The sequence below is a fragment of the Homo sapiens genome, chromosome 11, assembly GCF_000001405.40.
Source record: "Homo sapiens chromosome 11, GRCh38.p14 Primary Assembly".
Taxonomy (NCBI): domain Eukaryota; kingdom Metazoa; phylum Chordata; class Mammalia; order Primates; family Hominidae; genus Homo; species Homo sapiens.
This window is the reverse complement of record NC_000011.10, coordinates 47,117,124-47,137,126: the sequence shown is the minus strand read 5'-3', so window position 1 is coordinate 47,137,126 and position 20,003 is coordinate 47,117,124. Positions and strand designations below refer to the sequence as shown.

The 20,003-nt window shown below is 43.6% G+C and overlaps 1 protein-coding gene and 1 long non-coding RNA gene across 9 annotated transcripts in view; one reads left to right on the top strand and one right to left on the bottom strand.

Moving 5' to 3' along the window:
• Positions 1-20,003, bottom strand: part of CSTPP1 (centriolar satellite-associated tubulin polyglutamylase complex regulator 1) — a 227,697-nt gene that overhangs the window by 27,259 nt on the left and 180,435 nt on the right. The gene's annotated exons all lie outside the window — the stretch shown is intronic.
• Positions 251-12,222, top strand: LOC124902671 (uncharacterized). 2 transcript variants are annotated; one of them, XR_007062666.1, is made up of 2 exons: positions 251-310; positions 6,269-12,222. It is a non-coding gene; the product is annotated as an uncharacterized LOC124902671 (long non-coding RNA). The 2 variants fall into 2 exon arrangements; XR_007062667.1 differs by lacking the exon at positions 251-310 and adding an exon at positions 2,904-3,677.

Below are 20,003 nucleotides of genomic sequence, written 5' to 3'. Positions count from 1 at the left end.
CTGCAGCAGGCTGGCTTCTTTTGAATGGCTGAACACAAATCTGGTCATCCTATTATAGGAAGCCAAGACAAAGGTCCAAGATATACAGTCAAGGCAACCAAATGATTCCTGATATACAGAAGCAATGCTTTGTGCTTTGGGAGAGGTGAGCCAGGATGAGGCTCTGTGGTCCAGCAGAGAACCCAGAGAGGTGAATCTCAGAGAAATTTATAGGATCCTGAGGGAGAAGAAATACACTGATGCTTAAGTTATTTTGTTGCTGCATGTACTGAAGGCAAAAGATTTTAGATCAGCCAAGGAGTAAGAATGTGTAAGTATTATCATATATCAAAGCATTTCGAATATGGAAGGGCCTGGTAATGCTAAAGTGAGAGCAATCCACCCGGAAGCCTGCCTAATTGGGAGGAGGATGAGTGAGAGGAGGGAATCCAGAGGGCATGGCTACATTTGGGGAATGAAGATGATGATCACAGGCACTTGGTTTCTTTGGACCTAAGTTAGCCCAAGCCACAGGAATCCAGATCTCCTGCCCCCGTTAGTTTGGTTGATGCTTTTCCAAGACAAAAACCCCAAATCTCCAGGGAAAGGCCTGGGTTCCTAGTACTTTTTCATCAAAGCTTAATTCAAGGTGGGGACAGAGAGTTTGACTAACCACACTGCCAAAGTCAGAAACACCAAAGGAACAGACTCAGCGTCAATATAGGTCAAAGGATCAAGATGGTTTTGTGGCACTCTCCTCTTCCCACTTGCCTGACCTCGGGCACAGCCTGGCAGGAGGTCTTGTTCTTCAAGGGAGGGAGTCATTGCCACTCGTGGTCTCAGGCTTGGGGTGAGGAAAAAGGCGAAGGGAAGGGAGAAAATCCACTGAGTCTAATGTGTTCCCACTTTATTCTCACTCCAGAACTCCCCATGTAGAGAAAAGAGAAGAGTGATTTCTGGCAGGGCAGGGAGTAAATAAAGGAAAGTTCTATCTTTGAATCATCGTGCTTTTCTAGGCTAAACTTTGGTGGATATATCTGATAGCATTCTTAGGGAGAGTCAGAGTGTTTCATAGGAACTTACATTTATCCCCCAAATTACCTACAAAATATCCTTGGGAAGATAACAGAATGAAGGAAAATGAAAAAATGAGAGAGAGAGAGAGAGAGAGTTACTTAATTAAGAAAGACAATGCTAGGAGTCAACATTAGCTTCCTGGTTTCTAGACCCTAGGCCCTCTTCAGGTTTTTGATATTATTCTAACTCATGTACTTCAAGTACTTGCTTCCAAGGACAGAAGAATGATTTACAAAAATCACTGCGTGCTTCTCTAACACAACAAAAGCTCTTAAAAATATGAAAAACAGAATACATCCTGCTCACCACTTCTGGAACTTGACTCTTCTAAATGTTAAGTGAGGACAGTAGTCAGATAAAGAGATTAATGAAAATGCAAGCAAATAAACAACTTTTAATTGTGGAGAGAGTAGTTCTATTAGTTGTTATTATTATTCTTCCATGCAGACTCTGTGTTGGGATGTGGAGAGAGGAGTTCTAATTCTACTGAAGTAGTGACCAGATAATGTCAAGGGCAGATGATTTCTGCTACTTCGAGACACTCCTCAGCTGTTGTACAGTGGGTATTGAGAGAACTATAAGTGGTAAGACTTATTTCAAAATCAGAACACTGATAGGCATATGGGAGCTTGTTCCCTTTCTGCTCCATAGGCTAGGATTCAAATTTTGGCTCTGCGATTCACCAGGTATGTAATCTTGGGCAAATTGCTTAATCTCTCTAAGTCTCAGTTTCTCATCTGTAAAATGCAAGTGACACTGACACTTCTCAGGGTTAAAGTCAAGTGTAAGAGAGATGATGTCTATAAAGTGCTTAGCAGAATGTCTAGAACTTAGTAACATCAAACAATGGGAGTTTGTTTTGGTTCTGTTTTCAAATTCTGGAGGTGAGAAGAAGAGAGGAGGAAGGTATTTGTTGCTGAGTTTTTTTTATTTTAAATTTTAATTAATTAATTAATTAATTAGTTTTGAGATGGGGGCCTCACTCTGTTACCCAGGCTGGAGTGCAGTGGCATAGCTCACTGCAGTCTCGAACTCCTGAGCTCAAGTGATCCTCCCATCTCAGCCTCCCAAGTAGCTGGGACTACAAGCATATGCCACCACACCCTGCGCATTTAAAAAATTTTTGTAGAGACGGGGTCTCGTGCCGTCACCCAGGCTAGTCTTGAACTTCCCGCCTCAGCTTCCCAAAGTGTTGGGATTACAGGCATGAGCCTGGCTGTTGCTGAGTTTGGACACTTAAACACCTAAAAGTTTTCTGCCTTGAAAGTTCTCTGTTGGGTTGCCTGAGCCAAATCCGTTTTGAACACTCTCCTGCAGTGGCCACTCACTTCCTATTCCCATGTGCCTGCTCTGTTCCAGGCTCCCCATTATGATGAACAAGGTAGCAGTCCCCCTAGCTTCTGCAGCCTGCATTTGGGCACCAGTTCACCCTAATGCTCCTGTCTATTTTGGGCCCTTTGGCTCTTAGAACTGTCCAAGATCTCAAAGGCCCTTCTCACAGCCCTTTGTGCTCCAGCAATAACTGTAAAGAGAGTGAGTAGCCATGGAGATCTGTGCTCAGCTCTTGAATTAACTCACTTAGGCCAGGCGCAGTGGCTCACGCCTGTAATCCCAGCACTTTGCGAGGCCAAGGCAAGAGTTCACCTGAGGTCAGGAGTTCGAGACCAGCCTGGCCAACGTGGCAAAAACCCATCTTTACTAAAAATACAAAAATTATCCAAGCATGGTGGCAGGTGCCTGTAATCCAGCTACTTGGGGGGCAGGAGAATCTCTTGAACCTAGAAGGCAGAGGTTGCAGTGAGCTGAGGTCATGCCACTGCACTCCAGCCTGGGTGACAGAGTGAGACTCCTTCCCCCCTCAAAAAAATAAAAAATAAAAAAAAATTAACTCACTTAGCCTTCACAGCATACTACCTTATGAAGTAGACTCCATTATTTCCAGTCCCATTTCACAGATGAGGATGAGAAAGTTTAGAGGGATGAAATAAGCTGGTGAGCAAGGAAAGAGAGGAGGGTCCAGGGTAGGGGAGAGGAAGGGGACCTGTCTTCCCTGAGCAAGATCTCAGGGTGGGAGGGAGAGAAGGGAGGCTGATGGCAGGAGGGGCTTAACAATAACACAGCTAACATTTATTGAGCACTTGGTCTTGGGGAGGCACTGTTCTAAGGGGTTTACATATGTCACCTCACTAATCTTCACGACTATTATCCTCATTTCACAGACACAAAAACTCAGATTGTGCACACTTAAGAGGTAGAACTGGAATTCAAACCCAGGCAGTCTGGCTCCAAAGCCTACCCAGCTAACACTGTCAGCACCTTGATCTTATCAGCTATAATGTGTGAGGCTTAAGAGCTTGTTTTCCCCTCCAAACTAACTGCAGGAACTAAATAGCTCCAGTTGAACTGGATCAAGGAGACAATTCAAGTGAATTGAGATTTTCCATGTAAGAAACCGAGTCTGAAAAGTTCTAATTACTGTCAACAGGGAAGACTGAGGCTCCAGCACAGCAGCCTCAGGCCAGAGGGCATGGGCTGGGGGACCACTGTGCTGGTGGCCACACCGTGGTCTCTCATCCCCACCCACCTGCCAGCCACTCTTCTACCTGGCAGGTGCAGGGGAGGTAAGTATTGTGTATCAGTAGACACCTTCTCTAGATCCCCCCACAATTAGAAGAGTGTCAGCCAGTAGGTCCTGCAAGTTCAAAGGCAAAGACATAATAAGGCTTTGGTGTAAGATCAAAATCAGAACACTCTCCACAAATTTGTGTGTCTCCTTTTGTGGGTGGTCAGACTGCTAAACTTTCTTCTTCTAAGCCTTGCACTAGTCTCACCAATTATGTGGCTGGCTCCAGACCAGAGGTGTTTTACACCCTTGATCCTATCTTCTCCAGAGGCAGCACAGCATAGCATTGTGGTTAATAGCATGGACTTTGGAGTTAGATTGTTCGGGTCCAAATCCTAGCTTTGCCACTGACTTCAAGTTACTTGACTTTTAAGCTCTCCATGCCTCAGTTTCCCCATCTATGAAATGACAGTATGAACATTGCAGAGTTGTTATGAGTTAATGTAAAGTGCTTAGAACAGTGTCTGACCCATCGTAAGGGCCATCTGTTAGTACTTGCTATTATTATTTTAGAAATAAAGAAACTAGGGCTCAGTGAGGTGTAATCATTTTCTCAAGGAAACAGCTAGGAAGAGGGCTGAGATTCAGACCTAGGCCTAGCACAGGCTCTGAAGGTCCTGCAAGTTCCACCCTAGCAGGTGGGATCCAGCTGGTTTGTGAAGGACTTCTGATGTTAGGATTATTCACACCAGGTGACTGACAGATTTTCTATCTAAGTTAAACATACAGGTACCCTTCAGGCAGGCCACTTTAAACAGCACAGGGTAGTTGGGCAGGGCAGTTGTATTAGTGCAGAACTCTGACTTTGCAATCAGATGACCTGGCTTCAAAAACCTGGCTCCACTACTTGCCACCAGCATGACTTAGACAAGCTGTACAACTTCCCTGAACCTTGGTTTCCTTGTCTTAAAAGTGTAAGAACTACAGTACCTACCTAATGGAATTGTTGTAAAAGATCAAAAGAGGTAACATATACACTTTTCTGAAAAAAGTTAGCAAAGTGCTCAATAAGTGGTAGCATTATTTTATAATTATTAACTGATTAAAACTTGAAGTCCTGAAATTAAGGAATCTTTGAACTTAGCTAAAGCAATCAGCACAATGCCTGGTGCATTGCAGTAAACACCTGTTGAAGGAATGAATAAATAAAAACATGCCTCACACAGTGACCCAAATAAAAATTCATAGGGAAAAAGTTCTGGTTACTGTGTGAACACAAAGATAGGGGGTCTCCAGGCACAGGAGGCATTTCTGCAAAATTACAGGGGTATGAGGAGAAACCAGGAGTTGTAAAGTGTGAAAAAAGGAAAATCCCCTACGTGCTAGGTACTATAACTGTCAGTAAACATGATAAACCATGACCAGTGTACTACACTTCATGGGCTTGTTGGCCTTTGCACCAAGTGCTCAGTTCAATCAGCTTGAATATTTCTTTTCATAAGAATGTATCACTGATTTTCCTTTTTTTTTTTTAACAGAGTCTCACTCTGTCACCCAGGCTGGAGTGCAGTGGCACAATCTCGGCTCATGGCAACCTCTGCTTACTGGGTTCAAGCGATTCTCCTGCCTCAGCCTCCCGAGTAGCTGGGATTACAGACATGCATCACTACGCCAGGCTAATTTTTGTATTTTTAGTAGAGGTGAGGTTTCACCATGTTGGCCAGGCTGGTCTCGAACTCCTGACCTCAGGTGATCCACCCGCCTCAGCCTCCCAAAGTGCTGGGATTACAGGCATGAGCTACTGCGCCAGGCCATGTCACTGATTTTTCCATGAAAACCAAAGGAAGCCTAGGGTTCACTTCACAGAAATTCACTTTATTGCTGTTACAACTCTAGCATGAATACTACTGCTTTCAAGATAAGCACTGCCCTGACTCAAAATATTCTTCTGTTGGTTATATCCACTCTAATCCTAGAGAGTGTTAGATGAATTTACTTTAGCTAAGAAAATTAGTCAGAAATTATTGATTCCCAATATATTCAAGGGCTAACTCATTCTCATTTGTAGGAAAAGGATGTCTTTTTGACATCTGGTCTGCCTTCTTGCTGTGGCAAGTCCTGCTTCTGAAGCTCTGTGGGAGCAGCTTAGTCATTTCTACATCCTCCTTGCAGACCACCATGCGTGTCCACATTTGCTCAGAACTGTGGTGGAATATAGCTGTAGATCGGATACCTCTCCTCTTCCTGGGAAATGGTACCTTTGCCAGGATCACAGTGGTGTCACTAAAGAATACCCATGGAGGAGTGCCAGATGGAAGGAAGTGGGGCCATATATTCATTCCTTCAGAGAAAACCTTCCCTAAAGCCTGAAGTCAAAGACTTTTAGCTCTAAATTTATGGGGGATGAAATGGGGCTCAGTCTAAATTCATTTGTGTGAGTGCCTATATGTTGGTTGAGTGAGCTAGTGCTGGACAAGAGCTAAAGATAATGAAATGCTACAAGCCATGGGAGTCCCAGAGGACTGAACAGCCTCTAGTTTGTTGGCTGCATGATCTCAATAGTACTACCACAGAGGCCAGAGAATACCACAGCCCATGTGTGGACTCTCCAATTTTCAGCTGCAATTGTTTTTATGTTCTTTTATGCAGGGGTTGTGAAGGCTCACTCTAAATGACACTCATCCTCAGCCAGGCTGCTCTGCCAAGAGATGCTCGGAAGGACATGGATAGTTCGGGGCATGACCACACCACCCCTTCCAATCCCTGGGGCACCAAGGCTTTGTTACCAGGCCACAGCTGAGTAAATACTTCTCAGTGCTACTCTGTGAGGAGGGGGAAGGGAGTGAGGGACAGTGTGGGGGAAGGGAAGAAGGAGGCAAGACATCTGACGACTTCACTCCCCATGTAGCAGTTGGTATCACATGTCACAGAAAGATTGCTACCCTACTAGGGCCATGTTCCTGTCAAGCAAAGCCCCAGAAGAAGAGAAGGCTGTGTTATTCAATTTTATCTCCTCTGGCAGCACTGTTGTTTTATATTATAAATGGAGGGAAATGATAATTAGTTGACTGAATGGGAAATGACCTTACAAAAGGAATAAGAGGCAATGGCCTCGAATGACACCTGTGGGGTAAAGTATTTGGGCCATTATGAACACTACCCTTTGCCAGCTCATTACTCCCCAGAGCATCTTCAGTGTGTTCCAATGGGGGCAGAAAGCCCCTTTAGTTTTTTTTTGGTTTTTTTTTTTTTGAGACAGAGTCTTGCTCTGTCGCCAGGCTGAAGAGCAGTGGCGCTATCTCGGCTCACTGCAAACGCTGCCTCCCGAGTTCAAGCGAGTCTCCTACCTCAGCCTCCCGAGTACCTGGGACTACAGGTGTCTGCCACCATGCCTGGCTAATTTTTGTACTTTTAGTAGAGATGGGGTTTCACCATGTTGGCCAGGATGGTCTCCATCTCTTGACCTCGTGGTCCGCCCGCCTCGGCCTCCCAAAGTGCTGGGATTATAGGCGTGAGCCACCGCACCCGGCTGCCCCTTTAGTTTTATATTTTATTATGACTAAGCCAGACACCAAGCTAGAAATGTATTTAGTCTATTTCTATTTGGCAGTATCTTTGTTCTAGGCAAAGTATTAAATCAGACACAGTAACAATTTTATGGCAACGTTTAAAATGAACAAAAACAACTCTCCAGGAACTGTTTATATACAGCAGGTAAAGATTTAAAGAAATGCAGGCATTTCTAACCAGGATCTCAACATTCTACCCAGGGTCATGTAGGACATACCATGGCAATCTGATCAGGTTTTTAGGCTAACCATGGCCATCCTGAACCACCACTGGTGGCTTAAACCACAGGCCTGGTCTGATAAGAATCCCCTATACTGTGTCGAACCCTTGGGGGTCTGTTCATCACGATGGGGCCATTAGGGATTGGAGGACCAAGGCAAGGCTTTGTTCTGGGGGAGGTCCTGTCTTAGAAAGTGTGAGGATATGAAACACAGGCTGCATATGGCGAGGGTGGGCAGCCGTATGCATTGTGGAAGGAGGCACCAGTGCTAGGAGAAAAGAAAGCCTCTCTAGTAGCAACGGGGCTAGCTACTCTGGCATGGACACAGTTTCCTACCCATTATTGAGGAAATGGAAGGCAGTTTTGGACACTAGAATGTAGAGCAGGATCTTGGCACCATAAGCTCTCAAAGGCTCCGGCAGCCCATCAAAGAAGTGACTCCAGCCTAGAATTTGCACCACCACTCACGTGCTCATGCAGCTCCACCAGGTGTTACCACTTCCAGTTTTTCTTTGGAAACAGGAGGACAGGGTGGGCCCTTTGAAACGGACAACTCAGGGCCAAGTTATAATTCTCCTCCAAGAAGCAGGTGTTGTTACAAACTCCTGCAACCCATTCCTGTTCTTAATTGAACAGAAATGGTTAAACAGGCACAAGAGCTAAACTGGAGAATAAACCTTAATCCCTCCTAATGGTGACTAAAGGCAAGAGAAAACATCACACCCTCCCAATGGTGATATACCTCACTCAACCTTTGAAAAAGAGGCAGAATTTTAAATTTATTTCTGGGGGGTGTTTAAAGCCAGAATGAAGGTTTTTATGTTGTTTTAGGGGGGCAAAAGTTTACTACAGAGACACATCATGATAGAGAAAAGAACTTGGTCTGACTTCGGCAAAGGATTATACCTATCTGGGCACAATTTTTCTAGGCCTCAGTTTTCTCACCTGTAAAATAAGGATGTTGTGAGCCACTGCTCCCGGCCTGAAAAAAATGTTTTAATATATATACATTTTAAAAAATAGAAATCTAGGTCTGGCGCAATGGCTCATGCTTGTAATCCCGGCACTTTGGGAGGCCAAGACGGGAGAATCGCTTGAACCCAGGAGTTCAAGACCAGCCTGGGCAACATAGTGAGACCTCATCTCCACAAAAAATAAAAATGAAAAAATTAGCTGTGCATGGTGGCACACGCCTGTAGTCCCAGCTACTCAAGAGACTGAGATGGGAGGATGGCTTGAACCTAGGATGTTAAGGCTGCAATGAGCCATGATTGCACCACTGCGCCCCAGCCTGGGTGACTGAGTGAGACCCTGTCTCAAAGAGATAACAAATGAAAATCTTGTAAGGAATCTCAATATTTAATATTTATAAAAACAAAGCCTTTTTTAGCCAACTTTCTCTTCAACAGCTCTCACCCAGACGAGAAGTCGAGGAAAGAAGGCCTGAGGTGCTACCTTAAAACTCTAGAGCTCTACAAAGGGCAGTTAGGCCCTAAAACCTAAGTGGGTCTTACATAGTGCAATGGTTAAGAGTACAGGCTAAGGCTGGGCATGGTGGCTCACACCTGTAATCCCAGCACTTTGGGAGCCAGAGGCGGGCAGATCACTTGGTCAGGAGTTCAAGACCAGCCTGGCCAACATGGTGAAACCTCGTCTATACTAAAAATACAAAAAGTAGCTGGGCCTGGTGGCGCATGCCTGTAATCCCAGCTACTTAGGAGGCTGAAGCAGGAGAACTGCTTGAACCTGGGAGGTGGAGGTTGCAGTGAGCCAAGATCACACCACTGCACTCCAGTCTGGGCAACATGACACAGCGAGACTCCATCTCAAAAAAAAAATAATAATAATAATCAAGGCTCCTGAATCAGCCGATCTGGGTCCAAATCCTGGTTCTTCTGCTAACTAGCCATGTGACATTAGGCGAGCCAATTGAAAATGACAGTGAATAATAGTAATAATGGTATGAATAATGATAATGCTAATCATGAATTTTTGAGAGGATTAAAAAATCTTTTTTTTTTTAAAGGAAGAGATGGTAAATTAAGGTGCTGGTACATGGCATAGATAAGCATCCAATCAACAGTACCTGCTCTTGTTATTACTTTTATTACTTTCCTTCATTTAAGGCACACAGACACAGGTGGGATGGCACCTGCATAACAAAAGGCACAATTTATCACAGTTCTCCTTCAGCTCCAGCCAGTGGGTGGCTGAAACGATCTTATTTCTTATCTCATGATTATTTTGTCAAGCCTTTGTTCTTTATTGATGAATGAATAACAGAGTTCCTGCCTGAAGGCAGGTGCGCCACTTTCCCAGACTGTCAGTGCACTGCCAATCCTCTATTGCCTCACTTTTAATAGTGCTGATGGCTCATATTTGCAGACAGTGTAGAATTATGCAAACCATTTTCATATGCATTATCACTTTTGATCCCCATAAGAATTTTGTGGGGCAGGGAAAAGAAAATGGTATTAATTCCCATTTTTATAGACATGGAAAATGAGGCTCAAGCAAGGGACAAAATTGCCGCATAAGTGGTAGTTCCTGGATCAGATCAAGCCTTCTCATTCAAAGGCTGGCCTTTCTCTGCTACACAGACTGGCTCCCTATGATGTCCTTTTCTTTTTGCTGTAAGTCTCTGGGAACCCAACCTGCTTTTCCTTCGTCTATGGATGAAAAACACCTGGCACAGTGAATTCCCACAGTGAGAACCCAGTAAATGTTAGCTGCAACTGGCTATTATTATTTTGTTTATTATTTAATTTTATTCTTTTTTTTTTTTGAGATAGGATCTTGCTCTGTTGCCCAGGCTGGAGTGCGGTGGCGTCATGTTGGCTCACTGCAACCTCCACCTCCTGGGCTCAAGCAATCCCCCCCACCTCAGCTCCCCAAATAGCTGTGACCACAGTCACACACCACCACGCCTGGCTAATTTTTGTATATTTTGTAGAGACAAGGTTTCGCCATATTGCTCAGGCTGGTCTCAAACTCCTGAGCTCAAGTAATCCACCTGCCTCGGTCTCCCAAAGTGCTGGGATTACAGGCATAAGCCACCGTGCTGGCCATTATTTTAATTTTTTTAGAGATAGGGTCTCGCTCTGTTACCCAGGCTGGAGTGCAGTGGTATGATCATAGCTCGCTGCAGCCTGGAATTCCTTGGGTTCAAGAGCTCTTCCTGCCTTAGCCTAGGCGGGAAGTAGTTAGACTACAGGCATGCACCATCATGCCTGGCTAATTTTTTCATTTTTATTTTTTCTAGAGACAGAGTCTTGATATGTTGCCCAGGTTGCTCTGGAAATCCTGGCCTCAAATGATCCTTCTGCCTTGGCCTCCCGAAGTATTGGGATTATAGGTGTGAGCTACCGCACCTGGCCAGTGACTATTACTGTGAACATTTAAATCTCCCACTAGCTATTCCATCTCTTTCTATCACTTTTTGTCCTAGGGTGGCTCCAGGGTCAGATGTAGTCTGTCTGGCTTGTAACTTGCTTCCCCTCAAACTGACAGGCCCTTTCTATTTTAAGTGACTTGCTACTGATGCCTATAAGAAAATAGAGAAGAGACAACAAAAGTAATAAACAGTTAAAGCCATTATAAGCCTGTATCTGCAATTTTAACAGGACTAGACACAGATTAGGAAGAGAAAAGTATATTTCATTTATATATATAAAAAATACTTCCCACTTTTTTTTTTTTTTGAGACAGAGTCTTGCTCTGTCACCCGGGATGGAATACAGCGGTACAATCTTAGCTCACTACAACCTCTGCCTCCTGGGTTCAAGCAATTCTCATGCCTCAGCCTCCCATGTAGCTGGGATTACAGGCACGTGCCACCGTGCCCGGCTAATTTTTGTATTTTTAGTAGAGACGGGGTTTTGCCATCTTAGCCAGGCTGGTCTTGAACTCTTGACCTCAAGTGATCTGCCAGCCTTGGCCTCCCAAAGTGCTGGGATTACAGGCGTGAGCCACTGCTCCTGGCCCCACTACCTTTTTCTTTGCAATTTAAAATCAGGCTTATCATTAGGATGAAATTTTATGTTATTAGCAAAGCTGTCTGATGAGAACTTAAGAGAGCAAGCCACAGAAAACAAAAATGAATAAAAGTTATTATACTTCCTCTGAGCTTTCCACTGTCCAAAGCAGCCACAGAATAAATAAGAAGTGGAACAGATTATGCATTTGATTTTCTTAAAATGCATTTTCCTTCTTTTCTAAATAAATATAAACAGAAGCAGTGGCTAACGGGGTTACTCACTGAGGGTGAGTGGAACCAAGACAGACTAAAAATAAAAAAGCAACAATCTAAGTTCTCCAGTTCTTGATGGGTGTGCGAGCAGGGGAGGGTGGTGGCCAGCATGTAGGCGTGCTTATGAAGACCACAGCCTGTTTTCTCGTCAGAATCCACTAGCTTCCACCAATGATGATGGATTTACGGCTACCTATCAACTAAAAAAACAGACGTAAGGAACAGAAACAGCAAGAACCAGAAAGAAGACTGGATATAGATAAACACACACATCTCTTCAGATGAATCTACCTTTGTCTTTCCTGCTGTTTTGTCTTTTATGGGTATATGTAATGTACCCTATCTATAATTATATGGATATGTATCGGGAAGAGAATGAGGCAGCTAGAGAAAGAAGAGTGTCTGACTCTTTTGGGACTTGATGGGAAAGGAAATTGATGTTAGTAGTTACTGTTCCTTAAAGCCATCAGCTTTGTTTTTCAAAGTATGGTTTCCTGGTAAAGGATCCTTTGCCTGTAATGTGAGTGAATCACTCATCTTATTTTAATAAAAATGTGAACCAAATGATAGTGCTCTCCATCCTGGGAAACGACACAATAGTTAGGCTTTCTGAACCCTGATCCTTATCTTTCACTGAGACTGGCAGGCATACAAAAAGTAAAGAAAAAAAATGAAAAATATCCAGTGGCATCAGGATGAATCTACCCAACTTCATTTATGCACAAGAATTCTGAAAGACAAAGTCTGGTTTTACTCACTGGGGTTTGGTTTCTCCATCAATGGGTGGCCTTCCATTGGATACCAACTCTGTGCCTCAATTTCTTCCTGTCATGCCTCACGTATAAATAAATGATCACGGCTGATTAGACTAAGTAAAATACATTTTAAAGTATATAGGATAGACTAAGTAAAGTATATTTTAAAGTATATAAGATTGTATACCCTTTTGAATTTTGTCATTTTCATGTATAACCTATTTTTAAAATTAAGAAAGTAAACAAAAGTATGAGCAATGAGAAGACATCAAAGGATTTTTTAAAAGTAAGACCATTAAGGCCGGGTGCGGTGGCTTATGCCCCAGCACTTTGGGAGTCTGAGGTGGGCAGATCACGAGGTCAGGAGTTCGAGACCAGCCTGACCAACATGGTGAAACCCCGTCTCTACTAAATATACAAAAACTAGCCAGGCGTGGTGGCACGTGCCTGTAATCCCAGCTACTCAGGAGGCTGAGGCAGAAGAATTGCTTGAACCTGGGAGGTGGAGGTTGCAGTGAGCCGAGATCGCACCACTGCACTCCAGCCTGGGTGACGGAACGAGCCTCTGTCTCAAAAAAAAAAAAAAAAAAAAAAAAAAAGTAAGACCATTAAGAACTATTTGAAAATGTACAAACCTTTTAATCTCAATAATTGTGACGGTTGCTTTTGGGTTTAACATTCTAGGATTCTTTCATTGTCATTCTCTGTGGTTGAGGAAGTAGCACAAAGACTGGGTAGCGCATAATTTGTTTGTTTGTTTTTTGAGACAGAGTCACTCTTGTCACCCAGGCTGAAGTGCAATGGCATGATCTCGGCTCACTGCAACGTCCGCCTCCCGGGTTCAAGCCACCACACTGGCTAATTTTTGTATTTTTAGTAGAGGTGGGATTTCACCACATTGGCCAGGCTGGTCTTGAATTCCTGACCTCAGGTGATCCACCCACCTCGGCCTCTCAAAGTGTTGGGATTACGGGCGTGAGCCACGGTGCCCAGTCATAATCTGACCATCTAGCACATAACTTGCTAGCAGAGTGGGAATGCTGTGAACTCTCCCTCTACCCCCATCTTGTTTTCCTGCTTTATTTTTTCTCCAGAGCAGTAACTGTCTCCCCAACAGAAGCTCCAAGAGAGCAAGGATTTTGATTTTTTATTCATTGTTGGTTCCTAATAAATAACCATTAGAGGAGCAAGACTGCTGTGAAGAATACATGAGATAATGCTTGTGAAACTCTTAGCACTCACTGTCTGGGACAGAGAATATAGCTGGCAGCCAGGTTTTGTTTGGCTTGAAGTGTACTTTTTAAATTTTGAGGCAAAACATTAAGATATTTCCCACAACACAATCTAGATTTCAGATAGCTCTCTTTTTTAGAAAAAAATCAGAAGACCTGGTAATGATGGGCCAGCATTCCTGCATGACCACAATCAGCTGGAGCTGGGGAAGAGGATGCTGTTGCCAGTTTACCACCGAATAACACGTATGCTTCTTATATGACCTGCCTGGCCAGTGTTGGCATCTGAATTTTCAACCCCAGATGAGGAATTTCTCTTTGGAAGCTTTTACAATAAAGATTTAATTCATCTGATGAAATGAGTTTAAGATGAAAACAAAGTACATGACCTCATGATATTAAGAGGAAAGAGCAAAATAAAAATTGTCATATAGAGTATGGTTCCATGTTTGCTTTAAAATAACAACAAAAAAAAGAATAAAAATTTGCATAGGGAAAAGAATGGGATACATCAACAGAGTTAAAAATAGTAGTTAACTCAGTGTTTGGGGACCGTGGATGATATGTGCTTTCTTGCAATCAGAAGAATAAGATTTATTTTTTGGTTGGCTGCAGTGGCTCATGCCTGTAATCCCAGCACTTTGGGAGGCCGAGGCCGGTGGATCACTTGAGGTCAGGAGTTCGAGACCAGCCTGGCCGACATGGCAAACCACGTTTCTACTAAAAATACAAAAATTAGCCAGGCACAGTGGTGCACACCTGTAATCCCAGCTATTAGGGAGGCTGAGGCAGAACTGCTTGAACCTGGGAGGCGGAGGTTGCAGTGAGCTGAGATCATGCCACTGCACTCCAGCCTGGGTGACAGAGCAAGACTCTGCCTCAAAAAAAATAAAAAATAAAAAAGAATTATTTAAGAAGATTTATTTTTTAAAAAGCCATTTTGATTTATGGTATATAAATTGTATCTTAACAAAGCTGTGGAAGGAAGGATGGCAGGCCGGCAGGCAGGAAACCATCCACAGAGATGGTCAAGTATGTATCTTCCTTCAGAAACCTGTTTCCATGTCCCTCGTTCTCAGTGGCTCTTTCTTCCCCCTCTAAGTCACCTGAATGCCATTTAGTTCCTTCCCTACACCTTGTTTCATCCATGATGAAAAGATCATCATCTTTTATAATTCTATGTTTTTGGATCTTATTATAATGCCCCTTGGTCCTCCCTTATAGAGATGTTCAGGCTCACTGATGGCATACTAAGGTTATAAACCCCTTCAAATGAGGGCAGGAGTGACAGGAAAAACATCTATCAAAATAAGGGCATAGAACTGAATAGTTACAATATCCTCCATAGATCTCATTTTTCTAATATATATATATATATATATATATATATTTTTTTTTTTTTTTTTTTTTTTGAGACAGGGTCTTGCTCTGTTGTCAGGCTAGAGTACAGTGGTGTGATCATAGCTTATTGCACCCTCGAATTCCTGGGCTGAAGTGATCCTTCTGCTTCAGTCTCCAGAGTAGCTGAGAGTACAAGCACATATCACTATGCTCAGCAATTTTTTTTTTGTAGGGATGTCACTGTGTTTACTATGTTGCCCAGGCTGGTTTCAAACTCCTGGGCTCATGCAATCCTCCCAAAGTGTTGGGATTATAGGCATTAGCCATCGTGCTGGGCCATTTTTCTAATCTTTAACCATATTTATTGATAGTTTTCCTTCCTTTCTACAGCCTAAGATGATTGTTTCCTCCTGGGAACAGTGTGGCAGAGCGGAAGGGCAGGCTTGGGAGACTTGAAACTCTGCCTTGACTTTGCCAGACTACCTCACTTGAACAAGCTACTTACACTTAGGGATCAATTTCTTTGTCTGTAAAAAAGAGATAATAATCAATTGCTATTTACTTGAGAGTAAAAGGCCAGACCTATGAGCCCATGATTCCCAAGGCTCTTTTAAGTTGTGAAGTCATAGATTGGATCAACTTCCAAAGCTGAGAATAATGGAATTTTTTTTCAGGTATCTGTACCTTACACAGTAATATCTAGTCAATTTAAAACTTAACTAATAGGCAATGCCAAATATCTAAATGTCAATAAGTCTCCAAGTAGGCAAGAAGATTTCATGAAGTCCACATACAAAAGCTCGTGTGGCTAACTTACAGGGTTCCAAGACATACTCTGATTATACTCGCAGTTTTAACAAGCTTGGCCACTAGTTTCTAAGCCCAATACAGATTAGACAGGGTAAACAAGGAGAGGAAAAAGAACTATAATTAGGCATTAACTACATGACCTAACAGAGAGGCAGAAAAATATATTTTAAATATAATCTGGATACATTTAGGGTACATTTCAGTGGGTCCTGAAGGCAATGATCTTTTCCAGCAGAGTAAAATAATTTATGATGACAAAGATGATGCTTAGATGCCTAGAGGAGTTAAATTACATAAGATGGCAGGGAAGGCCACTGTATACGTATCATATACATTTTAAAAAGATTTCCATGTAAGTTATATTAAAAACAACAAAAAATGTAACCAAATTTAAACTATAAAATAGTAGGCTGTAAAACTGTAAAACTCTTCTGCGTCTTTGGATGTTTACTGTCTCTAAACCATTTATTGATCACTGCTTCTGTAGTGCTTCATGGTGTTACCTGTTTTTAAGCTGCTGTACTGAGTGCTGTGCATCATTACTCTCATTGAATGTCTCGCAGCAGTCCTATAGGGTAAGTACTGTCCTCATTTTACTTGCAGACACAGGGCAGTGAAGTAATTTGCCCAGTTACGTAACTAGCAAGAGGCAAGCACATTCGAGCTTTGAATCATGGATCTGCCAGATTCCAAAGCGCATGCTTTTACATATTCCACTATTTATTGGTGGTTGAATTATTGATTTATTTGTCTATCTGACCCATCACCACCCCATCATTGTTCTCAGCATTGGAAGTTAGTCCACCCTGTGACTTCACAACTTAAAAGAGCCTTGGGAATCACAGGATCATAGATCAGGCCTTTTGCTCTGAAGTAAGTAATTGACTATCTCCATTTTACAGATAGAGAAACTAAGGCTTAAAGAGTAAGTGGCTTGCTCAAGTGAGGTAGTCTGACAGAGTCAAGGCAGGGTTCCAAGGTCCCATTAGACCAAGTCTTGAGGGTAGGGACTCCATCTCACTTGCTTATACATATCAAGGGGACTGGCACACAGTACACAGTTAAAAAAACGTTCAATGAATTTTATCCCTATGCCTCCCTATACAGATGTGAAACCCTAAAAGCAATGTAGTATATCTCAATGCATCTCAACATATGATCATGAATCACCTGTACCCTAAACCCACAGAAGCAAAATCAGAATCCCTGGGGTCAAGAGAGTGAGAATCCACATTTAATTAAATAGCTCAGGTGACTCTTAGGATTGTCCTCATGGTTGAAAGCACATTTTTTGGAGTTAGTCAATCCTGGGTTCTGGGTTCATAGCTCAGCTCCACTGGTTACTAGACAAATGATCTGGGGCAAGTTAGTTACTTAAATTTTTTGAGCTTCAATTCCATCATCATTAAGATGGGGATAAGGCCGGGCATGGTGGCTCACGCCTGTAATCCCAGCACTTTGGGAAGCCAAGGTGGGCAGATCATCTGAGGTCAGGAGTTCGAGACCAGCCTGACCAACGTGGAGAAACCCTGTCTCTACTAAAAATACAAAATTAGCTGGGCGTGGTGGTGCATGCCTGTAATCCCAGCTACTCGGGAGGCTGAGGCAGGAGAATTGCTTGAACCCGGGAGGTGGAGGTTGTGGTGAGCCGAGCTCGCACCATTGCACTCCAGCCTGGGCAACAAGAGTGAAACTCCATCTCAAAAAAAAAAAAAAAAAAAAAAAAAAGAAGTGGGCAGTGTTCCAAGATGGCTGAATAGGAACAGCTCCGTTCTGTAGCTCCCAGCATGACCTATGCCGAAGATGGGTGATTTCTGCATTTCCAACTGAGGTACCTGGTTCATCTCACTGGGACTCATTGGACAGTGGGTGCAGCCCATGGAGGGCGAGCTGAAGCAGGGTGGGGCGTCGCCTCACCCAGGAAGCACAAGGGGTCGGGGAGTTCCCTTTCCTAGCCAAGGGGAGCCGTGACAGACTACCTGGAAAAACGGGACACTCTCCGCCCAAATACTGTGCTTTTCCCAAGGTCTTAGCAACTGGCAGACAAGGTGATTCTCTCCTGTGCCAAGCTTGGCAGGTCCCACGCCCACAGAACCTTGCTCACTGCTAGCGCAGCAGTCTGAGATTGATCTGCGAGGCGGCAGCCTGGCTGGGGGAGGGGCATCTGCCTTTGGTGAGGCTTGAGTAGGTAAACAGAGCGGCTGGGAAGCTCAAACTGGGCGGAGCCCACCGCAGCTCTACAAGGCCTACTGCCTCTAACTCCACCTCTGTGGGCAGGGCATAGCTGAACAAAAGGCAGCAGACAACTTCTGCAGACTTAAACGTCCCTGTCTGACAGCTCTGAGGAGAGCAGTGGTTCTCCCAGCACAGCGTTTGAGCTCTGAGAAAGGACAGACTGCCTCCTCAAGTGGATCCCTGACTCCCATGAAGCCTAATTGGGAGACACCTCCCAGTAGGGGCCGACAGACACCTCATATATAGGTGGCTGCCCTCTGGGACGAAGCTTCCAGAGGAAGGATCAGGCAGCAATATTTGCTGTTCTGCAGCCTCCGCTGGTGATACCCAGGCAAACAGGGTCTGTAGTGGAACTCCAGCAAACTCCAACAGACCTGCAGCTGAGGGACCTGACTGTTAGAAGGAAAACTAACAAACAGAAAGGAATAGCATCAACATCAACCAAAAGGTCATCTACACCAAAACCCCATCTGTAGGTCATGAACATCAAAGACCAAAGGTAGATAAAACCACAAAGATGGGGAGAAACCAGAGCAGAAAAGCTGAAAATTCTAAAAATCAGAGCACCTCTTCTCCTCCAAAGGATCGCAGCTCCTCACCAGCAACAGAGCAAAGCTGGACAGAGAATGACTTTGAAGAGTTGACAGAAGTAGGCGTCAGAAGGTTGGTAATAACAAACTTCTCCGAGCTAAAGAAGAATTTTCGAACCCATCGCAAGGAAGCTAAAAACCTTGAAAAAAGATTAGTCAAATGGCTAACTAGAATAAACAGTGTAGAGAAGACCTTAAATGACCTGATGGAGCTGAAAACCATGGCACAAGAACTTCGTGACGCATGCACAAGCTTCAATAGCTGATTCGATCAAGTGGAAGAAAGGGTGTCAGTGATTGAAGATCAAATTAATGAAATACAGCAAGAGGCCAGGCGCGGTGGCTCACACCTGTAATCCCAGCACTTTGGGAGGCCGAGGCAGGTGGATCACGAGGTCGGGGGTTTGAGACCAGCTTGACCAACATGGTGAAACCCCGTCTCTACTAAAAATACAAAAATTAGCTGGGCGTGGTGGCAGGCACCTGTAATCCCAGCTACTCAAGAGGCTGAGGCAGGAGAATTGCTTGAACCTGGGAGGCGGAGGTTGCAGTGAGCCAAGATCGTGCCATTGCACTCTAGCCTGGGCGACACAGTGAGACTGTCTCAAAAAAAAAAAAAAAAAAAAAAGAAAAGAAATACAGCGAGAAGACAAGGTTAGAGAAAAAAGACTAAAAAGAAATGAACTAAGCCTCCAAGAAATATGGGACTATGTGAAAAGACCAAATCTATGTTTGATTGGTGGACCTGAAAGTGATGGGGAGAATAGAACAAAGTTGGAAAACACTCTGCAGGATGTTATCCAGGAGAACTTCCCCAACCTAGCAAGGCAGGCCAACATTCAAATTCAGGAAATACAGACACCACCACAAAGATACTCTTTGAGAAGAGCAACCCCAAGACACATAATTATCAGATTCCCCAAGGTTGAAATGAAGGAAAAAGTGTTAAGGGAAGCCAGAGAGAAAGGTTGAGTTACCCACAAAGGGAAGCCCATCAGACTAACAGTGGATCTCTCGGCAGAAACCCTACAAGCCAGAAGAGAGTGGGGGCCAATATTCAACATTCTTAAAGAATTTTCAACCCAGAATTTCATATCCAGCCAAACTAAACTTCATAAATGAAGGAGAAATAAAATCCTTTACAGACAAGCAAATGCTGAGAGATTTTGTCACCACCAGGCCTGCCTTACAAGAGTTCCTGAAGGAAGCACTAAACATGGAAAGAAACAACTGGTACCAGCCACTGCAAAAACATGCCAAATTGTAAAGACCATCGATGCTTTGAAGAAACTGCATCAATTAACAGGCAAAATAACCAGCGAACATCTTAATGACAGGATCAAATTCACACACAAAAATATTAACCTTAAATGTAAATGGGC